Source organism: Homo sapiens, chromosome 1, assembly GCF_000001405.40.
Source record: "Homo sapiens chromosome 1, GRCh38.p14 Primary Assembly".
Taxonomy (NCBI): domain Eukaryota; kingdom Metazoa; phylum Chordata; class Mammalia; order Primates; family Hominidae; genus Homo; species Homo sapiens.
The window spans coordinates 16,666,759-16,687,040 of NC_000001.11; the positions used below are offsets into that span (position 1 = coordinate 16,666,759).

Genomic DNA, 20,282 nt, shown 5'->3' on the forward strand with positions numbered 1-20,282 from the left:
GGTCTGTTTTTGAAACTCCAGAAAGTCAGGGGAAAGCGCGAACGCAGTCCCCCACTACCACAAATTATGCAGTCGAGTTTCCCACATTTGGGGAAATCGCAGGGGTCAGCACATCCGGAGTGCAATGGATAAGCCTCGCCCTGGGAAAACCACCTTCGTGATCATGGTATCTCCCCTGCCAGGTAAGTATGAGATCTTCGGGCTCTGCCCCGACACAGCCTCATACGCCTCACTCTTTACACACACGGTCACTTGCCCCGCGCACTCCCGAGCCCTTTCCAGCCCTGACACACAGCTGGGATTCTCACTTCCGATCCGCGGTCCTGAACCCGCTCCCAGGGCACGGGAACTCCTTCGTGGCGAAGCAGCAAGTGGCGAAGCAGCAGCCTCTGCGCTGCCTCATCTACATAGAAGTCGCCCTGTCCGTGATGTCACCGACAGTGCCTTGCCCAGTCCCCGTCTGCCTTTCTGCCACTCAACCGACCAATCTGCTGCCAGAGCCGCCAAGGGGAAGTGACGTCTGCCTCTCCCTTTTTCCCTCCCGCCCCTGCGTCTGTTCTCTCCCAAAGAAGCTGGTCCTTAGCCTGTGTTAAGGAGCAACCTTTCGGTGGCCAGATGGAGCCGGGGCATCCTTCTTCAAATAATGGCTTTTAATTCGCAGACTAGAATGTTTCGGATTACAAAAGAAACCGGTTCTCTTCACATCCTTATCCTTGTGATGCAGCATTCCGCTTGCAATTGGAAGCCGTTTAATATCAGAGAGAAACCATATTTATGAAAGTAAAGAGGCTGCTTAGATGACTGCAAACCAGCCGTCCTTACTGGTTTTATCACTGGTAATGTTATAAAGACAGTTGTCCAGTTTCATGAATCTTGTAGGTTTTTTTTTTTTTGATGTTGTTTTTTTTTTCAAAAATCCGTATTGTAGAAAAATATGCTGTCCCAGAAGAGATGATTGGACACTCTCAAGCGTGGTGCTGGACTTTGTCATCTCTTGCACAGCCATCTCCACACCTTAGTGCTTACCTCATGTTAGTTTTTTATATTCTGCAAAGACGAAACCAAAATAATCCAAATTTGACACAAATACCTGGGCTACATCTTATTTGAGATGTTTAACAAATGTCTGGATCATCTTTTCTTATATATTACGCAGGAAACACTGTGAAGTAAGCAAAGTTGGAATGCCCAAGTGAAAGACCATTTGAATATTTACAAGTAGATTTCAGACAGGAATACTACAGGGTGGTCACAGGATAACAAATTCTAGGCAGCAGATTTACATGACTTGAGGCTGTGGGCTGTTAAGACGCTGAAAAACCAGGGTGTGGACCAAGCTGGCTAAGGCTGAGTGGACCCAACGTGGTGCTGGATTGGATGGAGGTTTTACCTAGGCCCTCATTATATGCTCATTAACATACTAAATCACACACCCGCCAGTGCCATGACAGTTCTGAGACCAGTGTTTGATGTAAAAATGGCACCACAGTTCCAAGAAATCTCCACCTTTACCCAGGAATTTTCGTGAATATTCCAATTCTTGGTTAAAGAAACCCATCAAGATGAAACCCCAGAACCCATTATTCTCTCTTGGGTATGCCCAAGCTCCCCTTTCTTGAGTGTGTACTTTTTGCTTTGCAATAAATCTCTTCTTTCACTATCTGCTGACTCATCTTTGACTTTGTTCTCACGATGGTGTCAAGAGCCTGGACACCACGGCTGGGGTCGAGATCCCACCAGTGTCCAGGGACCTCCCCCAGCCCACCAGTATCAGATTCTATTCCATTGCTCAAATCACAAAACATCGAGTGGAGAGTTCTCCTTGGAGATCATAAAGTAAAGATTCTGTGGCATGGTGGCCAGTTAGGCCACTGGAAGCATGGCAAAATATTGAAAATGAGGGATTAGGTGACAGTGTAGTAACTGCTGAATACTAAATACTTGATCCAGGCCCCATTCCCTGGAGATTGACAGGGAGACACATTGTCCAGGTAGTAGTGGAGAAATGTTTTCTGGGTATCTGACCAGCCTTTGTGGAAAGAACTGGCACCATCCTGCAGATGTAACCGCCTGATGGGTTCTTCCTGACCAATGTACACAAAAACTCAATTCATGGAGACCATGGCACTGCAGGAAACGGTTTCATTGACACAGGCCAGCCACGACATGTGGGAGACAGAGTTATTACTCAAAGCAATCTCACTGAAGGCTTGGAGGTAAGGGGTTTTTCAAAGATAGTTTGGTGGGGAGGGGGCTAGGGCTTGCGTGGTGCTGATTGTTGGGGATGAAATCACAGGGGCGTGGAAAATGGCCCTCCTGCATGGAGTCAGCTTCTGGGTGGGGGCTAAGGGACTGGTTGATTTTCGGGCCAGATGGTGCCTTCCAGCAGTCAGAAATGCAAAAGCCTGAAAAGACATCTCAAGAGGCCAATCTTAGGTTCTACAATAGTGATGTTCTTCACAGCAGTAATTGGGGAAGCTGCCAATCTTGTGACTTCTGGAATAATGGCTGGTAATTATTTAACGAGGCATACATCTTAGTAGAAATCAGGCCCCTTTCATCCTTCTAACTTGGTGGCCTTTCATTCATTTTACAGGGGTAATTTAGTTTTGGGGAAGGTTATCATTTAAAGCAGCCTTTTTGGCTGTCCTCAACCTTTTTGTCACCAGGGACTGGTTTCATGGAAGACAATTTTTCCATGGAAGGGGGTGGTGGATGTTTTCCATATGAAACTGTTCCACTTCAGGTCATCAGGCATCAGTTACAGTCTCATAAGGAGTGCGCAATCTGGATCACGCACATGAGCTGTATCACCACTCAGCTCTCACTCCAGCCTCAGGTATCAGCAAGACCTCACCAAAGATTACTGTTTAATTGTCTCTGTGTGTGTTTTTGTTTGTTTCAGGTAACAACTAATGTTGGAATTATGAAAAGCTCTTCTCTACTTTTAACAAAGCTTAGTCACAAACAGTTCCCCAGTTGATGAGAAAAACTAAAACAACAGAACAATTGAAAGTCCGAATCTGCAAGTTCATCTCTGAGAACCGAATTTTACAGCCACTCCAGATTTGTACTCCAAATGGATAGTTTGATTGTAGAAATCACTTCCCTTCAGTCTGCCAATGTGATAACTGCCCAAGAGAAAGTGATGCCTACATTCGTAGATAATCCCCTTTCCCCCATCCTATATATAACTGGAGTCAACAGTAGCTGGAGGAAAATGGCAAGAACTTGGAATCAAGATTAGGTTAGAATAACACTGCTGTAGACAGTTTATCAGCTCTTCAGCATATGTCCATTTTCCTTGAAGGATGAGCCTTTAGAAACCTCTGACAATAAAGTTTATTTTACATCCATTCCCTTGCCTATGATTTTTTCATACAAATCACAATTATAAAACTTTCTTGCTCCAGCTAAAAGCAAGAAACTCAATCATGAATGTGTTCACTAAATATATACCACAGAATGATAGCAACCAGTCTGAATGCATCACTTGATTCCAAAATTAAATGTTAGCCCTCAGTGGTGCAACTACATGTATCTCCAACTCTGGAAGCCACAGGCAACATATTCCTGTTTCCTTGCAGGGAAACAGATCTATAAGCAGGGCGGCAGTCTCACACATGTACATTCCTGGGAAACCCAAGGAAACAATGATAGTGACGCAGGGCAGGCAAGCCCCCAAACTGAAAGAGTTTTGCTAATGTCGCGATTGGCTTTCTATGTTATTTGAAGACTGAGATCTCCATGAGGAATGAAGACAGGTAATGCCTAAGGCTGAGGCATGACCTCACTGGGTCACCTTAGCTGTGAAGTGAGGTCAGTTGTCACCTTGCAAACCTTTTGGTAATCCAAATCTTGGAATGATTTCTTTAAGAATTTAGACACTTCCAGTACTTTTCCTGTCCTTGTGGGGAAAGCTTCTATCCACCTGGTGAAAGTGTCTATAAATACTAGCAAATCTTGTAGTTCCCTGTAAGGTGGCATCTGGGTTAAGTCTGTCTGCCAGTCTTCACCATGGTATGTTCCTTGGTGTTGTACAGGTTTAAGCAGGGATCGGGGTATGGGGTGGCTTCCTGAGTGGTAACCCTTTTTATAGTTTAGAACAGTCCCTTCCCGAAGAATATTTAGGAAACTAATTTGAATGGAAAATCCCGTCCCAAATGTGAGGAATCATGAAAATGTTTAATTATTTCCCATCTGTCAGCCTCAGGAATAGAGTTTGTTCTTTTGTAGCAACCATCCAGAGGGGTCTCCCTGGAAGCCTTTTACTCAGTCCCTTTAATTTCCTTAGGGGTATAGTATGGTGTCACTGACACGGATGCAGTACCTGGTAGTAGCGCAGCAGCTTGAAATACCAGGGTTTCCTTAGTTGTGGCCTTAGCTGCTCTTTCCACCAGGGAATTTCCTCTAATAATAAAAGTGTCTCCCTTCTGGTGTCCCCTGCAGTGAGTAATTGTTATTTCTTTGGGAGTTGGACAGCATCTAAAAGTTCCAAGATCTGAGTAAAGTCGTATGGGGGATCCCTTGGCTCTTGATAGTCCCCTTTCCTTCCCTATGGCTGCATGAGCATGGAGCACCAGGAACCCATATTTAGAGTCAGTCAACACATTGACTCTTGAGGGTTCATCCTCCCCGCAGGCAACTGGAGATGTATTGTCCCCAGAGGGTACAATAGAGAATCTTCCGTCACAAGTCAGCAACCAGCATATGTGAGTGACAGCATGTGTCCCACTCAGAAATGAGAGTGTATTAGTCCGTTTTCATGCTGCTGACAAATACATAACAGAGTCCAGGACCAAAAAGAGGTTTAATTGGACTTACATTTCCATATGACTGGGGAGGCCTCAGAATCATGGCGGGAGGCAAAAGGCACTTCTTACAAGGCAGCAGCAAGAGAAAATGAGGAAGAAGCCAAAGCAGAAACCCCTGAGAAACCCATCAGATAGTGAGACTTACTGGCTATCAGGAGAATAGCACAGGAAAGACCCGCCCCCATGATTCAATTACCTCCTCCTAAGTCCCTCCCACAACACATGGGAATTCTGGGAGATACAATTCAAGTTGAGATTTGGGTGAGGGCACGGCCAAACCATGTCAGAAAGGGATGAAGTGACAGCATATCCTGATGTGTGTGATGGTTTCATGAGTTATTATCTATTTCAAAATTTATTGCAATGTGTGGAAAAGAACAAGGACTTGTACTATCTGACTTTAAGGTTTACTATAAGCTATCAGACACAAGGCATCAAGAGTGACAAACGGATAAACAGCCTGAGTTAGAAAACCTGAAATTGATCCACAGCTATACGGTCAATAAATGGGTTTTCAGTAAAAGCAGTTCAATAAAAGAAAATAAATCATTTCAATTAATGAACTTCTATATGGATGTGGGGAGACCAACAATGTTATTCTCCCTCACGTTACACACAAAAGTAATTTCAGCCGCATTACACACCAAAACTTAAAAGTTAAAGATATAAAGCATTTCAAGGATACTTTGTGACTTGTTGGCAGGCAAAGATTAGCCTACCAACAAGCAGGACACAGAAAAAATACATATATAAGAAAGACATGATAAATGAGACTTCATCAACATTAGCCACACCTTCTCATCAAAAGATACCACTAAGAAAGCGAAAAGGCAAGCAAGCCACAGACAGAGAGAAAATACCCACAAAACGTATCTGACCTCCACATCCTGCAATTATAATTATAGTGGTCTGGTACACTGCACCCAGTTTCTGCTGGATGGAGTATTTTCTGGGTGTCTCTAATGAGTAAGAGAGGGCCCCATGGGATATTCCTTCAGTTCCCAGATGAACAGTGGGAAAGACTCCACATTGACCAACCTCGGGGGCCTGAAAACCCAGGTCCTCAAGGAGGGTAGAGTATACCTGGACCCTGACCCAGACCCCTGGATGGGCTGTGCCAAGAGACCCAGCAAGGGAAGGGATTTCCTCCTGCCTCAGGTTCTCTGTTCTTCTGTGGTTAGACCACCTGAACCCAACTCCCTCCCCAAGCACTAGAGATGGGCTTTTCCAAGGGCTGGGGATCTTGCTGTCCTGAGGACAGCTGAGCAAGGGGGTCGAGGAGGAGCTTGGGTTGTGGAGGAGAGGAAACCGGGTAAGATGCGTGAAGCAGTTGGCTATACCAGGCACAGAGAGGACCCGCTGGGACCCAAGAGCCTGCATGTGAAGCCAGGCCTTGGGCCACCTTGTCTGTCAAGGGGGTGCCTACTTCCATGGTGTCTTCAAAGGGACTGTGGAAAGAGAGGCCTTCAGCCCACACCTCTGAATGCTTTTCCACCACAGCATGCCCTGTGGCCTTTATCCTGCTGGTGTGGAACAGTCAGACCCCTGCAGGGCTGCAGAGCCTCTGTACTGGGCGGCATCCCAGCCTGAGTGCCAGAGCTCAGAGGGCAGGCCCCCGAGCAAGCAGAGAGGAGGGCACCTTTTGGACAGAACGTGTGGGACAAGAGCGATGGCTCATCCGTTCAGGTTCCTCACAAAATGAGAGTCAGGAAGATCAGGGCGCCGGCCTGATTTCCCAGGCAGGGCTGAAAGCAGACAACCGGAGGGAGAGCAGCACCTGGGCCAATGAGGTAGAAGACAGAAGACCACAGTGTACTCCTGCCCTCAACCTCACCCCCTCCCACCCACATCCTCCACACTCCCTGACCACCTTCCTCAGAAGTGTAATAGGAATCCAGATTCCCCCTGGCCTGGTTGCTGCAGGAGGCACAGTAGCCTGATGGAGCCTGAGGCAGGTGTGGGAAGATGTGGATTGTCTAACTGGAGGTTGGGAGTCCAGGGTGTAGAAGCAGCTTGGAGTGCAGGATTTGGTGGTACGTGTGTGGCAGTAGGCAAAAGAAAGAGACAACTGGCCGGGCGCGGTGGCTCACGCCTGTAATCCCAACACTTTGGGAGACCGAGGCGGGCGGATCACGAGGTCAGATGAAGACCACGGTAAAACCTCGTCTCTACTAAAAATACAAAAAAGTAGCCGGGCGTGGTGGCGGGTGCCTGTAGTCCCAGCTACTGGGGAGGCAGAGGCAGGAGAATGGCGTGAACCCGGGAGGCGGAGCTTGCAGTGATCTGAGATCGCGCCACTGCACTCCAGCCACTGCACTCCAGCCTGGGTGACAGAGCAAGACTCTGACTCAAAAAAAAAAAAAGAAAAGAAAAGAAAAGAAAAGAAAAGAAAGAGACAACTGAGCCACTTGAAATACCAAGAGAATTCAAATTTAGAAAATTCCCAGGGAACTATGCGTGCAGGCACTCACCAGATCCACAAAACAGCTGCTGCATAACTGCATGTTGCAAGCAAGCCCTAAATTGCTGATTTTGAAACAGCCTGATGGGTTCACAAAGACAATTTCTGAATAGTCGTAAGAGCAGAGGTGCACTAAAGCCACTGTGCCCCGCAGGCCCGGATCCCAGTAAGTTCTTTAAGGAGTAAGTCTTACTTCCATTTATGGAAGATTTTTGGAGTTGTCCTTGGTCACCCCCAGGAATGTTTTGGTTAGGAGTAGAATTTTAGATGTCATCAATTTAAAAATTAAAACTAAAACGCTGGAACTCATAGAGAGATAAAATTAAGAGAATACATTCACTATCCTGAGTAGAAAGATTTCTTATAGAACATAACAGGCTTTAAAAATAAAGAAAAAAGGCCGGGCGCGGTGGCTCACGCCTGTAATCCCAGCACTTTGGGAGGCCGAGGCGGGTGGATCCTGAGGTCAGGAGATCGAGACCATCCTGGCTAACAAGGTGAAACCCCGTCTCTACTAAAAATACAAAAAATTAGCCGGGCGCGGTGGCGGGCGCCTGTAGTCCCAGCTACTCGGGAGGCTGAGGCAGGAGAATGGCGTGAACCCGGGAGGCGGAGCTTGCAGTGAGCCGAGATTGCGCCACTGCAGTCCGCAGTCCGGCCTGGGCGACAGAGCGAGACTCCGTCTCAAAAAAAAAAAAAAAAGAAAAAATATGGCAAAATTTCATCTAATTAAATGCTTTGAGAACTAAAATTAAAATCCAAAGCCACTGGACAGACTGCTTCTTGGCCAAGGAGACCCCAGAGAAGTCTTAAATACTGAGTTCCTGCCCAGTAGTTGGAATCTCAGACACCTCTCCTTATACTCTCTCCCTTTGTGGTTTAGACACAACTGACCAGCATTATTGTTAAAATAGAGATCCTAAGACTGACAGAACAGACTCCTTGCAGTAGGAAGATACGGTATGATAAACGAGACCTAAGGCCACGCCAGGCAAGGTGGAGTCATGCGCCCCTCAACTTAAAGAATAAACTATGTTCTAATTGCCACAGGTCTTTTTCTTCTTCCTTTTTTTCTCTAGCTAAACAAGCACTGGCCTTGAGATAAGCAATGCTGAAGCACTTGCAGCTCACCCATTACCATAAACTGACTGAGCCCTCCCTACACAAGCCATAACTACAGCTTTGATTGGACAAGAGACTGATTTCAGTAACTTCCCCTTGATAAGAGAGCACTGGCTGTGGACGGGTTCTGGACGGTTTACAGAGGCTGTGCACTTGACTGCCTTTGTGTCCCTGCTTCCCCTTTTGAAGCATAGGGCCTAATTATAATGTATTTAAATGTTGTCTCCACCCCAAAGTGAACATGGGTTGCATGTAACAGGCATGTTTACTCAGCATGCATGCAGCAGGATCCCTTCATGAATATTCAGAGCTCCTCCTATTCCCTGTTGAATATGTATATGTGGCCCACCACATCAACATAAATCCCTGTTCCCCCCTCCCCTCCCTGGAAACGTACTTTTCAGGTTTCAGCAGCAAGAGGGTATGCCTCCCTGTCTGTCAGAATGGCCACCTTGCAGGCTGTAACCCTTTATAAAAAATAAAATCTCCCTTCTAAATTTATAAATTGTGTGATTTTTCAGTTGACAGCTTTCAGTCAGACTTTTCACTGACTGGGAAAAGTCATTTGCAATATATTTATTTTAAAAATGACTCCTCAGGATACAAAATTCTTGTGCAAAAATCACAAGCATTCTTATACACCAATAACAGACAAACAGAGAGCCAAATCATTAGTGAACTCCCATTCACAATTGCTTCAAAGAGAATAAAATACCTAGGAATCCAACTTACAAGGGATGTGAAGGACCTCTTCAAGGAGAACTACAAAACACTGCTCAACAAAATAAAAGAGGATACAAACAAATGGAAGAACATTCCACGCTCATGGGTAGGAAGAATCACTATCGTGAAAATGGTCATACTGCCCAAGGTAATTTATAGATTCCCTGCCATCCCCATCAAGCTACCAATGACTTTCTTCACAGAATTGGAAAAAACTACTTTAAAGTTCATATGGAACCAAAAGAGAGCCCGCATCGCCATGTCAATCCTAAGCCAAAAGAACAAAGCTGGAGGCATCACGCTACCTGACTTCAAATGATACTACAAGGCTACAGTAACCAAAACAGCATGGTACTGGTACCAAAACAGAGATATAGACCAATGGAGGAGAACAGAGCCCTCAGAAATAATGCCACACATCTACAACTATCTGATCTTTGACAAACCTGACAAAAACAAGAAATGGGGAAAGGATTCCTTATTTAATAAATGGTGCTGGGAAAACTGGCTAGCCATATGTTGAAAGCTGAAACTGGATCCCTGTTCTCATTGCTTGCACCTGGGAGACACAGGTTGCAGTGAACTGAGATTGAGCCATGGCACTCCAGCCTGGGTGACAGAACGAGACTACATCTCAATAATAATAATAATAGTAATAATTTACTGTTCTCATAAAAATTAGCGGATGGGGAATGGAGGCAAGCCGGTGCAAACCATGACAACTAGTTTAGATTTTATTGTCAACTCATGAAAAACTCGTTCTCATTTTGTGTTTTTAAAAAATTCCACTGATACAGCCGTTTTCTCTACCGAAAAAGACTATAACCGCATTATTTCATCACTGGAAGCTACAGACAGAGGGCCCTTGAGAGGCGGCATCTTCACCTACGGGAATGTTTCCTGCTCAATTGTGAGACAAAGAGCATGTCCAAGTTTTCCTATAGGCCAGGCCGCCCCCTAGTTTCTGCGCTGTGGGCTAAACTCCAGAAGCTGGCGCCCTTCAGGGCCAGAGGTTTCCTGTGCTCTCTGGAGGCTGCTAGGATTAAAGGCAAAGCAAACGACAGGTCTATTAGCCACAGTTGCAGGATAGAAAACACTACTGTGACTCAGATTAGAACAGAGGTTGTGGCAACCACAACTACAAGTATTAACCACTACACGACCACAAAGTCTGCTGACAACCATTGCACTTCTTCTATTTTTTTAATGTAAAAACACTCACACTATTTTATCTGGTTTATTCTAGGACGTCCGCAGATTTTTGTGCTTTTCTGTCTTTCATGTGCTTCTCCCTTTCTCTCCCCATTCTGCTACATAATTTAAAAAAAATCTCTTCTCTCAGGATCCAGCCACTGCCTCTACAACAAGCCTCCTGGGAGGTCTCTTTGTCCCATTGACATCTCTGCCTTCTTTCGCTGCTTTTTTTTTTTTTTTTTTTTTTGACGGAGTCTCGCTCTGTCGCCCAGGTGGAGTGCAGTAGCGCGATCTTGGCTCACTGCAACCTTTGCCTCCTGGGTTCAAGCGATTCTCCTGCCTCAGCGTCCCAAGTATAGCGTCCCAAGAATAGCAGGTGCATGCCACCACATTCGGCTAATTTTTGTATTTTTAGTAGAGATGGGATTTTTCCATGTTAGCCAGGCTGGTCTTGAACTCTTGACCTCAAGCGATCCATCCGCCTTGGCCTCACAAAATGCTGGGATTACAGGCGTGTGCCAACGTGCCCGGCCAAATTTCAGGCCAACACCTGTTGACACACATTGCCAGACACACGGAATCCCTCGCGGAACACCGATGGGCCCACAAAACACGCGGGGGCTGCGGTCGCTGATGATGTGAGCAAATTCGATTCACGGTGTCTGGGGTACAGCCCTGAGGGTTCACTGGCCACCTCTGCGCAAGGACCAGTCTCCGCCGCTCCCCTCATCTCCACGCAGATTCTTGCCCACACACCTCCCCTTTCTTTGGGCCGATGACAACTCTTGGACCTCTGAGGTGACTGTCCTGCCCGCAGCTTCTCTCCTTCCAAGAGTGTCATTTCTTGATCCTCTCCATAGTGGCTCAACGGTAAGCCCAAGGTCCAGCACGCGAATCAGGAAACTGATGGTTCTTTGGGTTTGCAGGGATCCTTCCAGTGAATAAATGAAAGTAACAGGTACCAGTATCAAAACTGCAGTGACTCACCAGAGACACTTCATGCTTGCCAGCTTGCTAAGCTGTTTGAGTCCAACAACTGCATGGGGTCCTGGGTTAGTCTCCTGCCGCTACTTTGGTGAGTGTTGTTGTCACTTTACCTTGTGGTGGCCAAGCCCCTAAATGCACTCTTGGGTTATGCAGTATAATTTTCAGCGTAAAAGACAAGTAAAGAGCCATAGCGAAGTGAAAAACAACCACGTGCAGTGGCCGGGAATTGAACCCGGGTCTCCCGCATGGGAGGCGAGAATTCTACCACTAAACCACCAACGCCTCTCTGGAACTACCCCCTGGAGGATAACAGAAAAGAGTAACCACAAAGATTTAGAAACTGTTCTAAGCGGTTTTTTCAAGTGTCGACTAAAAGCTAACAAAGACATCCAAACCAAATGTGTTTTTATAGGAAACTTTTATTAGACAACGTTATAAATATCAAAATAGCTCATTTGTCGGATCAAACTCTTAACTCTGAAAAAGGTCTTTCTACCTGCATTACAAACCCCTATAATAAAACATCAGAAATTCATTCATGTTTCTTTTTTCTAATCCTAAATCTTCCATCATCAACCTCAAACTGCTGCCTTAGAGGTTCTGAGAAGGTAACCTAACTGGTAGTTTAGGTAAGTAAAGTTCAAATCCAGGGAGGAAATAAGAAGCAGAAGCAGAATTAGAAGAAAGACGAAATAAAAGGACAGAACCACGGTAGAGATAATGAAGAAACAAAGGTTGGTCCACTAAGTTAGTCTTTTGTCGTTGGTTTTTTTTGGCAAAAGAGTAATGATCGGTCTCGTAATCATTATAATACTATTATTTGTCTGCTTGAAGATGTATAAAGCATTTGAAGGAAATGTGATGTGAAAAGATGAAGAACGCTTGCCGTCAATGTTTCATTGTTTGGGAGAATCCCATTTCCTAAGTTAATATGCTTTGATGTGTTAGCTATGTAAGCAGTAGACTAGTTTAAGGAAATATTGACGGTCAAATATTAACATATTAGTCTTTTGATGAAGTTCAAATATTAGAGAGATTTCTTTCCTCAATTTTCAATGGAGACATTCAACTGAAGAGACAAATCCAGAGTTTTCTCCACATGTTGGGTCTGGGAGTCATTATGACTTTTTCAAAGACAGGAGCTGTGACATGGAATCATGCTTCTTCTCAAGCTGAGAAGCCAAGCTAGGTCCAGGCTGAGTCATAAACTTGAGCCCACCAAGGAAATCATCCTTCACATTGACCTCGCAGAGCTTTGGCTGTTCTCTGTTCTTTGCCCAACACCCAAGACACACACCAGCTCTGGCCAACAAACCTTAACATATGATCTATATCAACCAAAGCTACATTTATTCCCAAATCTCCTTCTAAAATACAAACCTGTACTTTCTACTCTCAACTTCTAAATCTACCAAGGCCTCATATGCATCTGAGTCACAGATGCTAAAACTTAACCGGTTTTCTGAGGATTATTTGAGGAAGGGGTATGCATGCAAATGTATATACATAATTCATGTGATTTAGGAATATGGACTCTATGACTTCCAGATGCAGATTTAGAACCTTTTTAAAAAATATTTTGTTTTTGTTGTCTTGCAAATCAGCCAGATCTGCAACTTACCAGAGTAAAGCCAAACCAAGCGGGACCCTTAGGAAATGCGCTAAGATGTCATCCACTTTCAGTGTCAGCCTGTGAAAATTCAGGCGACAGAAGAGAATAAAGAGAATCTTAAGGAATTTCTGGAACCAAAGCTAATATTAAGCAGGCCTCTTGCTGGCAGACCAGTGGAAATTGTACCTGGTCAACAATCTGTCTAGATTGAGGAGGTCTAAAATGTAGCCACAGGTTCAAATACTTTTCTGTTTGTTTCCCAACCTCGATTAAACTCACAAAATTTAGGGACCAAAAAAACAAACAAACAAACAAAAAAAAAAACAAACCACGACGTTCCCACCCAGTCTCGAATCAGGGACTTTTCTCGTGTGAGGCGAACATGATAACCACTACACCACAGAAACTGCATATGCACCAAAAAAGGCAAAATATCATCATGAAAATCTTAGATCAGCCATTTCTATTATCGTTTCCAAAGTAAGAAATTCAACTGCATTTCGAAATTCGACTGAAAAAAGCCCAATAAGCACCAGCCATCAAGAAGACTATGGCTCCCAATAGGCCCAGGCTTAGCGTTCCGCGCCCACCCCCAACACGAAAACCATGGGGACCCACACCCGGGCTTCGGGGACACATACCCGGGCTTCGGGCTCCCGCATCCTCCCCTGGGTATGCAGTTCCAGAACTAAGCGCCGTGTGCGGGATCCTCCCGGCTGACACTCTTCGGCTCCCAGAAGCTGCAGGAGCCGGCGGGCTTTGAGCCTCCGAGCCCTGGGCGCCCCGTGCCTCTCAGGAGGGTGGACGCCGCCCTTCCAGGGATGCGGACCCCGCCTCGGGGCCTTTTCCCCGGCGCCGGCCGTCGGGGCTCTTGGCTCTTCTCGTCCTCCCAGGAACCGTAGAACCCTCCTTGCCCTCCCTCCCGTAGGCCGAGGGGCGTGAGCTGCGCCTGTTTCCTCACGGACCCTTTGGCCTCAGCGCCTCGATGTCTTGCAATTCTTAGCTCACGGCTCTTCCTCCTATAACAAGGCCCTTCCATGTCATGTCCCCTACTCCCTCTTAGCACCAGAGAGATGTCTCCCCTGCCCCACAGGTCACATTCCATGAGTGGTGAAGTTTCTAGAGTTGTAACCATGGCATCTCCAGCCCTGTGTGTTCCTCTCCATGCTCCCCATTGAGCAGTCTTGATCCTATATTAGCCCCAGGAAATGAAATAGAAACAGGACCCTACGTTAAAAAGTTGCAGTGGAGATGTGGTGGCCACCAGGGGCTGGAACTGTGGGGTGACTGAGAGTATCCAAAGCCCTGTGGCCAACTTACTGGTGCTGAGTGTGCTGGTGAGCCTCTCTGTCAGCTGGCTTCCCCGGGCCAGTTGCTCCCGGAAGCTCTGTCCCAGGTAGTAGTCAATGTCATTGCTCCTTAGGAGATCCTCAAAAGATTTTACTGTATCTTTTGCATGCTGGGTGAGAAGATAACAAACACCTCTCCCTTCTCGTATTTTTTGCCGTAGGTAAGACAGTTCCCGGGCCTGATCCTGAATCAGGGAATCATATTTCCTAATGCAGGACAGAAGAGGAAAGGGTGGATGATAAGTTATGGGGGCTTCTGTAGAGATTTCTATGAGAACATCTCTAAGGAACTCCCCCAAACTGAATTCTGGCACATAAGCCATAGGAGGCATTTAACAGCAAATTCTACCCTGATAAAGTATCGCACTAAAAATTTTAGTATGGGCCGGGCGTGGTGGCTCATGCCTGTAATCCCAGCACTTTGGGAGGCTGAGGCAGGCAGATCATAGGTCAAGAGTTCGTGACAAGCCTGGCCAATATGGTGAAACCCCTCCTCTACTAAAAACACACACAAAAATTAGCTGGGCATGGTGGCACATGCCTGTAATCCCAGCTACTTGGGAGGCTGAGGGAGGAGAATTGCTTGAACCTGGGAGGTAGAGGTTGCAGTGAGCCGAGATGGCACCACTGCACTCCAGCCTGGGTGACAGAGTGAGACTCTGTATCAAAACAAAACAAAACAAAAATTTACCATGCCACTGTTCTTCAACTGTTATATATATGTTAATTATATGTCCCTAGATAAATTTTTTGGGAGCTGGGCCTCCAGCTGGGATACTCTCTGGAGGAGACTCTTCAGGTCCTTTTTGGCCTGAAGTCCTGGAGAGTAGAAAGCCCCAGTGCCATCAGACAGCCACAACTCATCCTCATCAGTGACACTATGAGGTGAAGACCCCTCCAGGGTGTCAGGAGCTCTCAGCTTCCAGGGTCTTTCCAGACTAGATGAATAATCACTTGTAACCAAGAGGGACTGGACCCGGTTCTTGAGGTTTTGAATGACCTTGTTGGCATTCTGCAGCTGGGCCTTCAGATCTTTGATGTCCTTTCATAGGACCCAGATGTTTTCTGACTTTCCATATACCCAGAACTCTTCCTGCCTCCCTAGTTCATTCTCCAAGGGCTTCCTCTCAGAGGAACTAGCCAGCGTTCAGCCCCGGCGCCCCTGCTCAGAGCACAGCCCCTCCACCAGGACCATTTCCTTGCGGCTGCTGTGCTCCTCATGCTCTGAAAAAAGACAAAGATGTCTTCCTAAATAAAAGTTGGATGTGCTGTTGTGGCCACTGCCTTTGAGAGGAGGCAGGTTTGGTCATGAGGACAATAATTACTAGGGAATAAGGTGAAGTCGTACTTTATTCAACCCTGACACTGTACTAGGCATTCAAATACAGTATTTCTTATCCTCCTTATACCCACAAGTTAGGTTTCACCACTTTCTATTTTACTGACTGGGGAAACCAAAACTTAAAGAGAGGTGGTAAACCAGCTTGTTCTAGATCACTCAAACTAGCACATGGCAGAGCCTGAATTCAAATCCTCCAACGTCCTGTGTTCATTCCACACACACTGATGTTTCTCAAGCCATTAACATGGCCTTATCTAGTTAGGATAGCCACAAGAACGCAGGACAAGCTATTTCTGCATGCTGCAAGTTTAATGCTCTCTAAAGTTTACTATAATTTAAAAGTTTATTGGGTTACCACTGTGTGAAAAATAGGCATAGGAAAATAAGACTTCGAATAAATATATCAGCATGTTAACATCAGTGTATTGGGGCAGTGGTAGTCAGAATGAGAACTAATCCACAGCATTTTACCTGATGCCAGACACTGTTCTAAAGCATTTTATAAGAATTTACTCATTTAATTCACATTAGTATCTGATGGGGTAGGTAGTTCCTTTATTACTATTTTAACATATGAAGAAACTGGGGCATAGGAAAGTTTACAAATTGGGATTTGAAGCAACAAGTCTGGCCCCAGGATCTTTTCTCTTAACTGCCACACTACACTTCCTCAAGAATGAGAGAGACTGTGTTTTTCTTCTCTTCTGGTTTTCTTTTTTTTTTTTTTTAGTTTGTAAGCAAACATTTATAGCCATGATTCCACAGATGTGGTAAGTAAACCAACAGCCATTCCTAAATAAAATACAAGAATTTCCATCATGCATAGTTTACAGGCTTGGTAAGAAGCAGTCTCTTTAGGGGCTAGATGCTTAAGAAATATTCAACAAACAATGAAATCTTGGCTTTTTTTTTTTTTTTTACACAAATGTTTGGTTATTTAGCCACATTAGTGATAAAACATATTCATATTCTAACTGCAAGTGGAATAAACATTGCAACAAAAATGCAACCCAATCAAAATCATTAGTAATAACTATTACTCCCTCTTAGCAGTAAGAACCATTATTCTTGGATTTCAAACATTTTATTTTCTGTGCATAGCTTATAGCACTGTATTATAGGAATCAGAGTGTATAAGCAAAAAAATGAAATAAAACTTCTTGAAGACCATTTCCATTATTTATGATTAAATCAATGAAACTATACAATTTCCACATTAAATACAAATTAGTAAAAGAATTCCTCCAAGTAGTATTGCATATAAGCTACAACTTTACCCCAACTATTTTAATCACTATGATTCGAGATTTCCTAGGATTTAACAGCCCAAGATTGGGCTGTTACTACCTCAGCAAGAACAATCACCAGTAAATACATGAACTGGGGTTATAGCTGAATTTTTAGAAACTCTCCAGACAAACCACGTGTTAGAGGAGGTAAGTAGAAAAACTAATGTTTGAGCTGTGCTATTCCTACCAGGAACTATGTCAAATATGCAAAGTTCAAACATTCTTAGTAAAATAATATGAAAGGATCTATATATACTGTAAATTTAGCAAAAACACTTTTATGTACAGAAGCCTAAATATCTTAGGAGGTTTAGAATACCAATGAAGAGAATTGTTAATTCTTCAAGGCTGGTTTCTTATGAGGATTAAAAACCAGCCCTTAGTCTCAGATGCATTCCACCTAGATGTGTTCACGAACTCCATAGAGTAAGAAATATAAACCATGAATATGTACTCTTAATTTCCATTCTTCAACTTAATGTTCTATAGTACTTCAGATTTTTAAATCCAGAGTTTGGTGTACACTTAGGAAATTATAGTAAGAGTAGATTAGAGAAGATTTGCTTGTTTTCCTTTTGAAGCCATGTGAAGGTTTATTACCCTGTGTATTTTCATCACTGAAAAGTTCCCCGGTGACTAATAAAATAAAAGTGTCACAAGCTACATGATGGATCTCTTCTTTTAATGTTGCATACAGTTTCAGTTTGGCTAGTGAGGGCTAACTAGCTCAGCCCTAGTTTCATTTTATTAGAGTTGACCACTAAAAACTAAATAAGGAAGTTACCAGTAAAGCTAATTCCCAATACAAGCAAAAAACAAAAACAAAAAACAAAAACAAAACCATTCGCATAATAAAATATATCCTTAACACAAAATAAGGGTATAACATATTCTGCAGCATGACATTTTATTTTATTTCTCAGCTGTAGCTTTTTCATTCAGAAATTGGAGACCATCTTTTCACTGAGTTGTTATTCCTTCCTCTTCCCTTAGCTTAGGGATATGTTGAAAAAGGCTTTTCAACAAGTATTTTATTTTTTACAAGTTGCTATGAAATTAAAATTTATATATATATCTTAAGTGTTTATAAAGCACTCAAAATTGTAGCTTACATGTATATGACTTCTGAAAATAAAAATCACACTTCTAACATAATCTTTCTGCTCTGCAAAAATATTCTACATACATGCATATGATCAAAACAATCTTTTCATGTTTGGGGTATTTCTTACACATAGTAAAAGAAAAGTCAACAATTATATCAGTACTTCCCCTGTTAAGATAACTGAGTGCCACCTAGTGTTCAATTTCTGCAACTACTAAGCTTACAAATTCAATACTGCTATTAAAACCCAGGTTCTGAAAACGGCATTTTGGAAATCTTTTTTTTTTTTTTTTATGTTTACGGTGGCAAAATACGACTATGAAAAGAACATGATATCAAAATCAGTATAAAAATAGCCACAGGCTACTTAAATATGACAAACAGACTTATTTTTTTTCTTCAAATGCAGACTTCTGCCTCCCTCAAATTGTATCAAAATCTCAAGGGAATATCTAGGTAACTGGAATATACACAATGACTCTATACAATCAAGAGGCCAGGGCTTAATCAGATTCCGTGAGGACAAGGCAAATGATTTCTTCAAAACACCCATTTTCTTACTGGAAGTGGTAGGAAAAGCAGCAATGCATGGTTTTTTTTTTTTTTTTTTTTGTAATTAGTAGACATGGTCTTCTACCCATAAGCTCCATTACATTAAAAGAACAAAGTGGGCTTAACATCTCACTTAAGATAATTCAGCATTATTATCAGTTTTAAAAAAACCAAAAATATCTTAGAAACAAATCAGTCTGCTTTAACAAATTGCATTCATGCTAATGAAATTTTAATCTTCTTTGTCATGATCAAAATCCAAATTGTAGGACAATCTTCAGAAAAGATGGAATGTAAAATGTTGAGTTCAATTTAGATGTCATCAATATCTTCATCATCATCTCCAATGTCATCAAACTGAATTTCATCATCATCTCCAGGACCAAATGTATCAGTTTCATTGATTTTAGCATGCTCTGGAAGCTCGCCGTATGCCTGCAGACTTCTAGCTTCGTCTGCATTGTATTTTAAAATTACATCAGCTTTGTTATCCTGGTAGTCTCGGAGACCAACCAAAATAATGTCCGAGGTATTTATCCAAACCTTTTTTCTCAATTTTCCTCTGATGTGACATAACCTCTTTACACCATCGAAACACATTGCTTCTAGCCGTCCATTTCCCAACATTTTGATTACCTGAGCATACTCCTGACCATCCTCTTTGAATACCAGTTCTCTTTTTTCAGATTCATTCTCATTCTTACCCCTGCGTCTATTTTTACCTCCTTTACCTTTATTCTTGGGCATGGCGGTGGCGGCGACCTCGCGGCGTCTCTGACTTCTTTCCGGGTAGCGGCGACCGCGGCGGCTGCTGCTCCGAGGGGCGACACGAGGGAGCGCGCGGGACCAAGTAGGTGCTGGAGGCCAGGCAACGTGCGCGGGAGAGGCTGGCGACCCAGCTCTTCGGAGATCCGCCTGCGTCCACGCTCGGCGGCAGCAAAATGCTCTTCTGGTTTTCAATGTGGTGGGTGGCCCTATGGTTGTAGTCCTTTTATAATGCAAAACAAAATTATTTTTAACTTACGGTTTGCATGTTTCCAAAACCTCATGTGGTCTCTAAGTAGGCCTTAGTATTTCTATAATAATCAGTTGGCTAGAACTTTATATTATTATTATTATTATTATTATTATTATTATTATTAGCAGTGTGCCACAAACTAATTGTAGAAATTCAAACTTATACGCAGCCTCATTTTGGGTAAGAGTTCTCCTATTAACCTCCTGTCCTCCTCTTCCCCACTACTTGTCAGGTGTGGAATTGGCCAACAGCACCCAAATGTGATAGCTGACTCCAGGGAGGGAAGGTGAGCCCCACACCCTGTGCTCTTACCGGGACTGGTGGTTTCCTCCTGTTCAGCCTCATTCTTGCTTTGGCCACAAGTCTCATAGCCCAGGTCCTGGAGGTCCACCTGGACCTGTTTACTGTCCTGCTTCAGCAAGGGTTCACCTGCGTGGGAAGAGACAGCAGGTGTTACAGAATGTCTGAATTTCCCACATATGCCCTCAGCCTCAATGGCACATACCCTAACCTTGTGGGGCAGGGAGGGCAGATCCACAGTGCGAGAGAAGCTTCTTTGAACTGGTGGGAGAAGAGACCACCAGCTCCAGGAAGCAGAATTTCTTTCCACAGGAGGAGCCTGCATTTGCCATTGATAATCTCCCCTTCAGATAACCTAGGCCTTAGTTGGGACAAGGTATCTGTAAGTCAGGGATTGTGTACTCTCATCTCTAG

The 20,282-nt window shown here is 44.0% G+C and overlaps 1 protein-coding gene, 2 non-coding genes and 1 pseudogene across 3 annotated transcripts, besides 2 other annotated features; 1 reads left to right on the forward strand and 3 right to left on the reverse strand.

Annotated features, from left to right (window-relative positions):
* Window positions 27-190, reverse strand: RNU1-3 (RNA, U1 small nuclear 3). The gene has a single exon (NR_004408.1). It is a non-coding gene; the product is annotated as an RNA, U1 small nuclear 3 (small nuclear RNA).
* A 5,557-nt stretch (window positions 191-5,747) lies between these two features.
* Window positions 5,748-6,754, forward strand: LOC124903857 (FAM231A/C-like protein LOC102723383). Its single transcript, XM_047436909.1, has one exon. The coding sequence runs from the start codon at window positions 6,245-6,247 to the stop codon at window positions 6,752-6,754; it is 510 nt and encodes a 169-aa protein (XP_047292865.1). The 5' UTR covers window positions 5,748-6,244.
* Window positions 10,092-10,141: an enhancer, noted in NCBI's record as "active region_270". NCBI's record gives its function as "activates an Ori minimal core promoter by ATAC-STARR-seq in GM12878 lymphoblastoid cells {active_cell/tissue: GM12878}" and the evidence as "EXISTENCE:reporter gene assay evidence [ECO:0000049][PMID:35858748]".
* Window positions 10,172-10,321: a silencer, noted in NCBI's record as "silent region_335". NCBI's record gives its function as "represses an Ori minimal core promoter by ATAC-STARR-seq in GM12878 lymphoblastoid cells {active_cell/tissue: GM12878}" and the evidence as "EXISTENCE:reporter gene assay evidence [ECO:0000049][PMID:35858748]".
* TRG-CCC4-1 (tRNA-Gly (CCC) 4-1) lies at window positions 11,513-11,583 on the reverse strand. The gene has a single exon. It is a non-coding gene; the product is annotated as a tRNA-Gly (tRNA).
* EIF1AXP1 (EIF1AX pseudogene 1) lies at window positions 16,333-19,491 on the reverse strand (annotated as a pseudogene).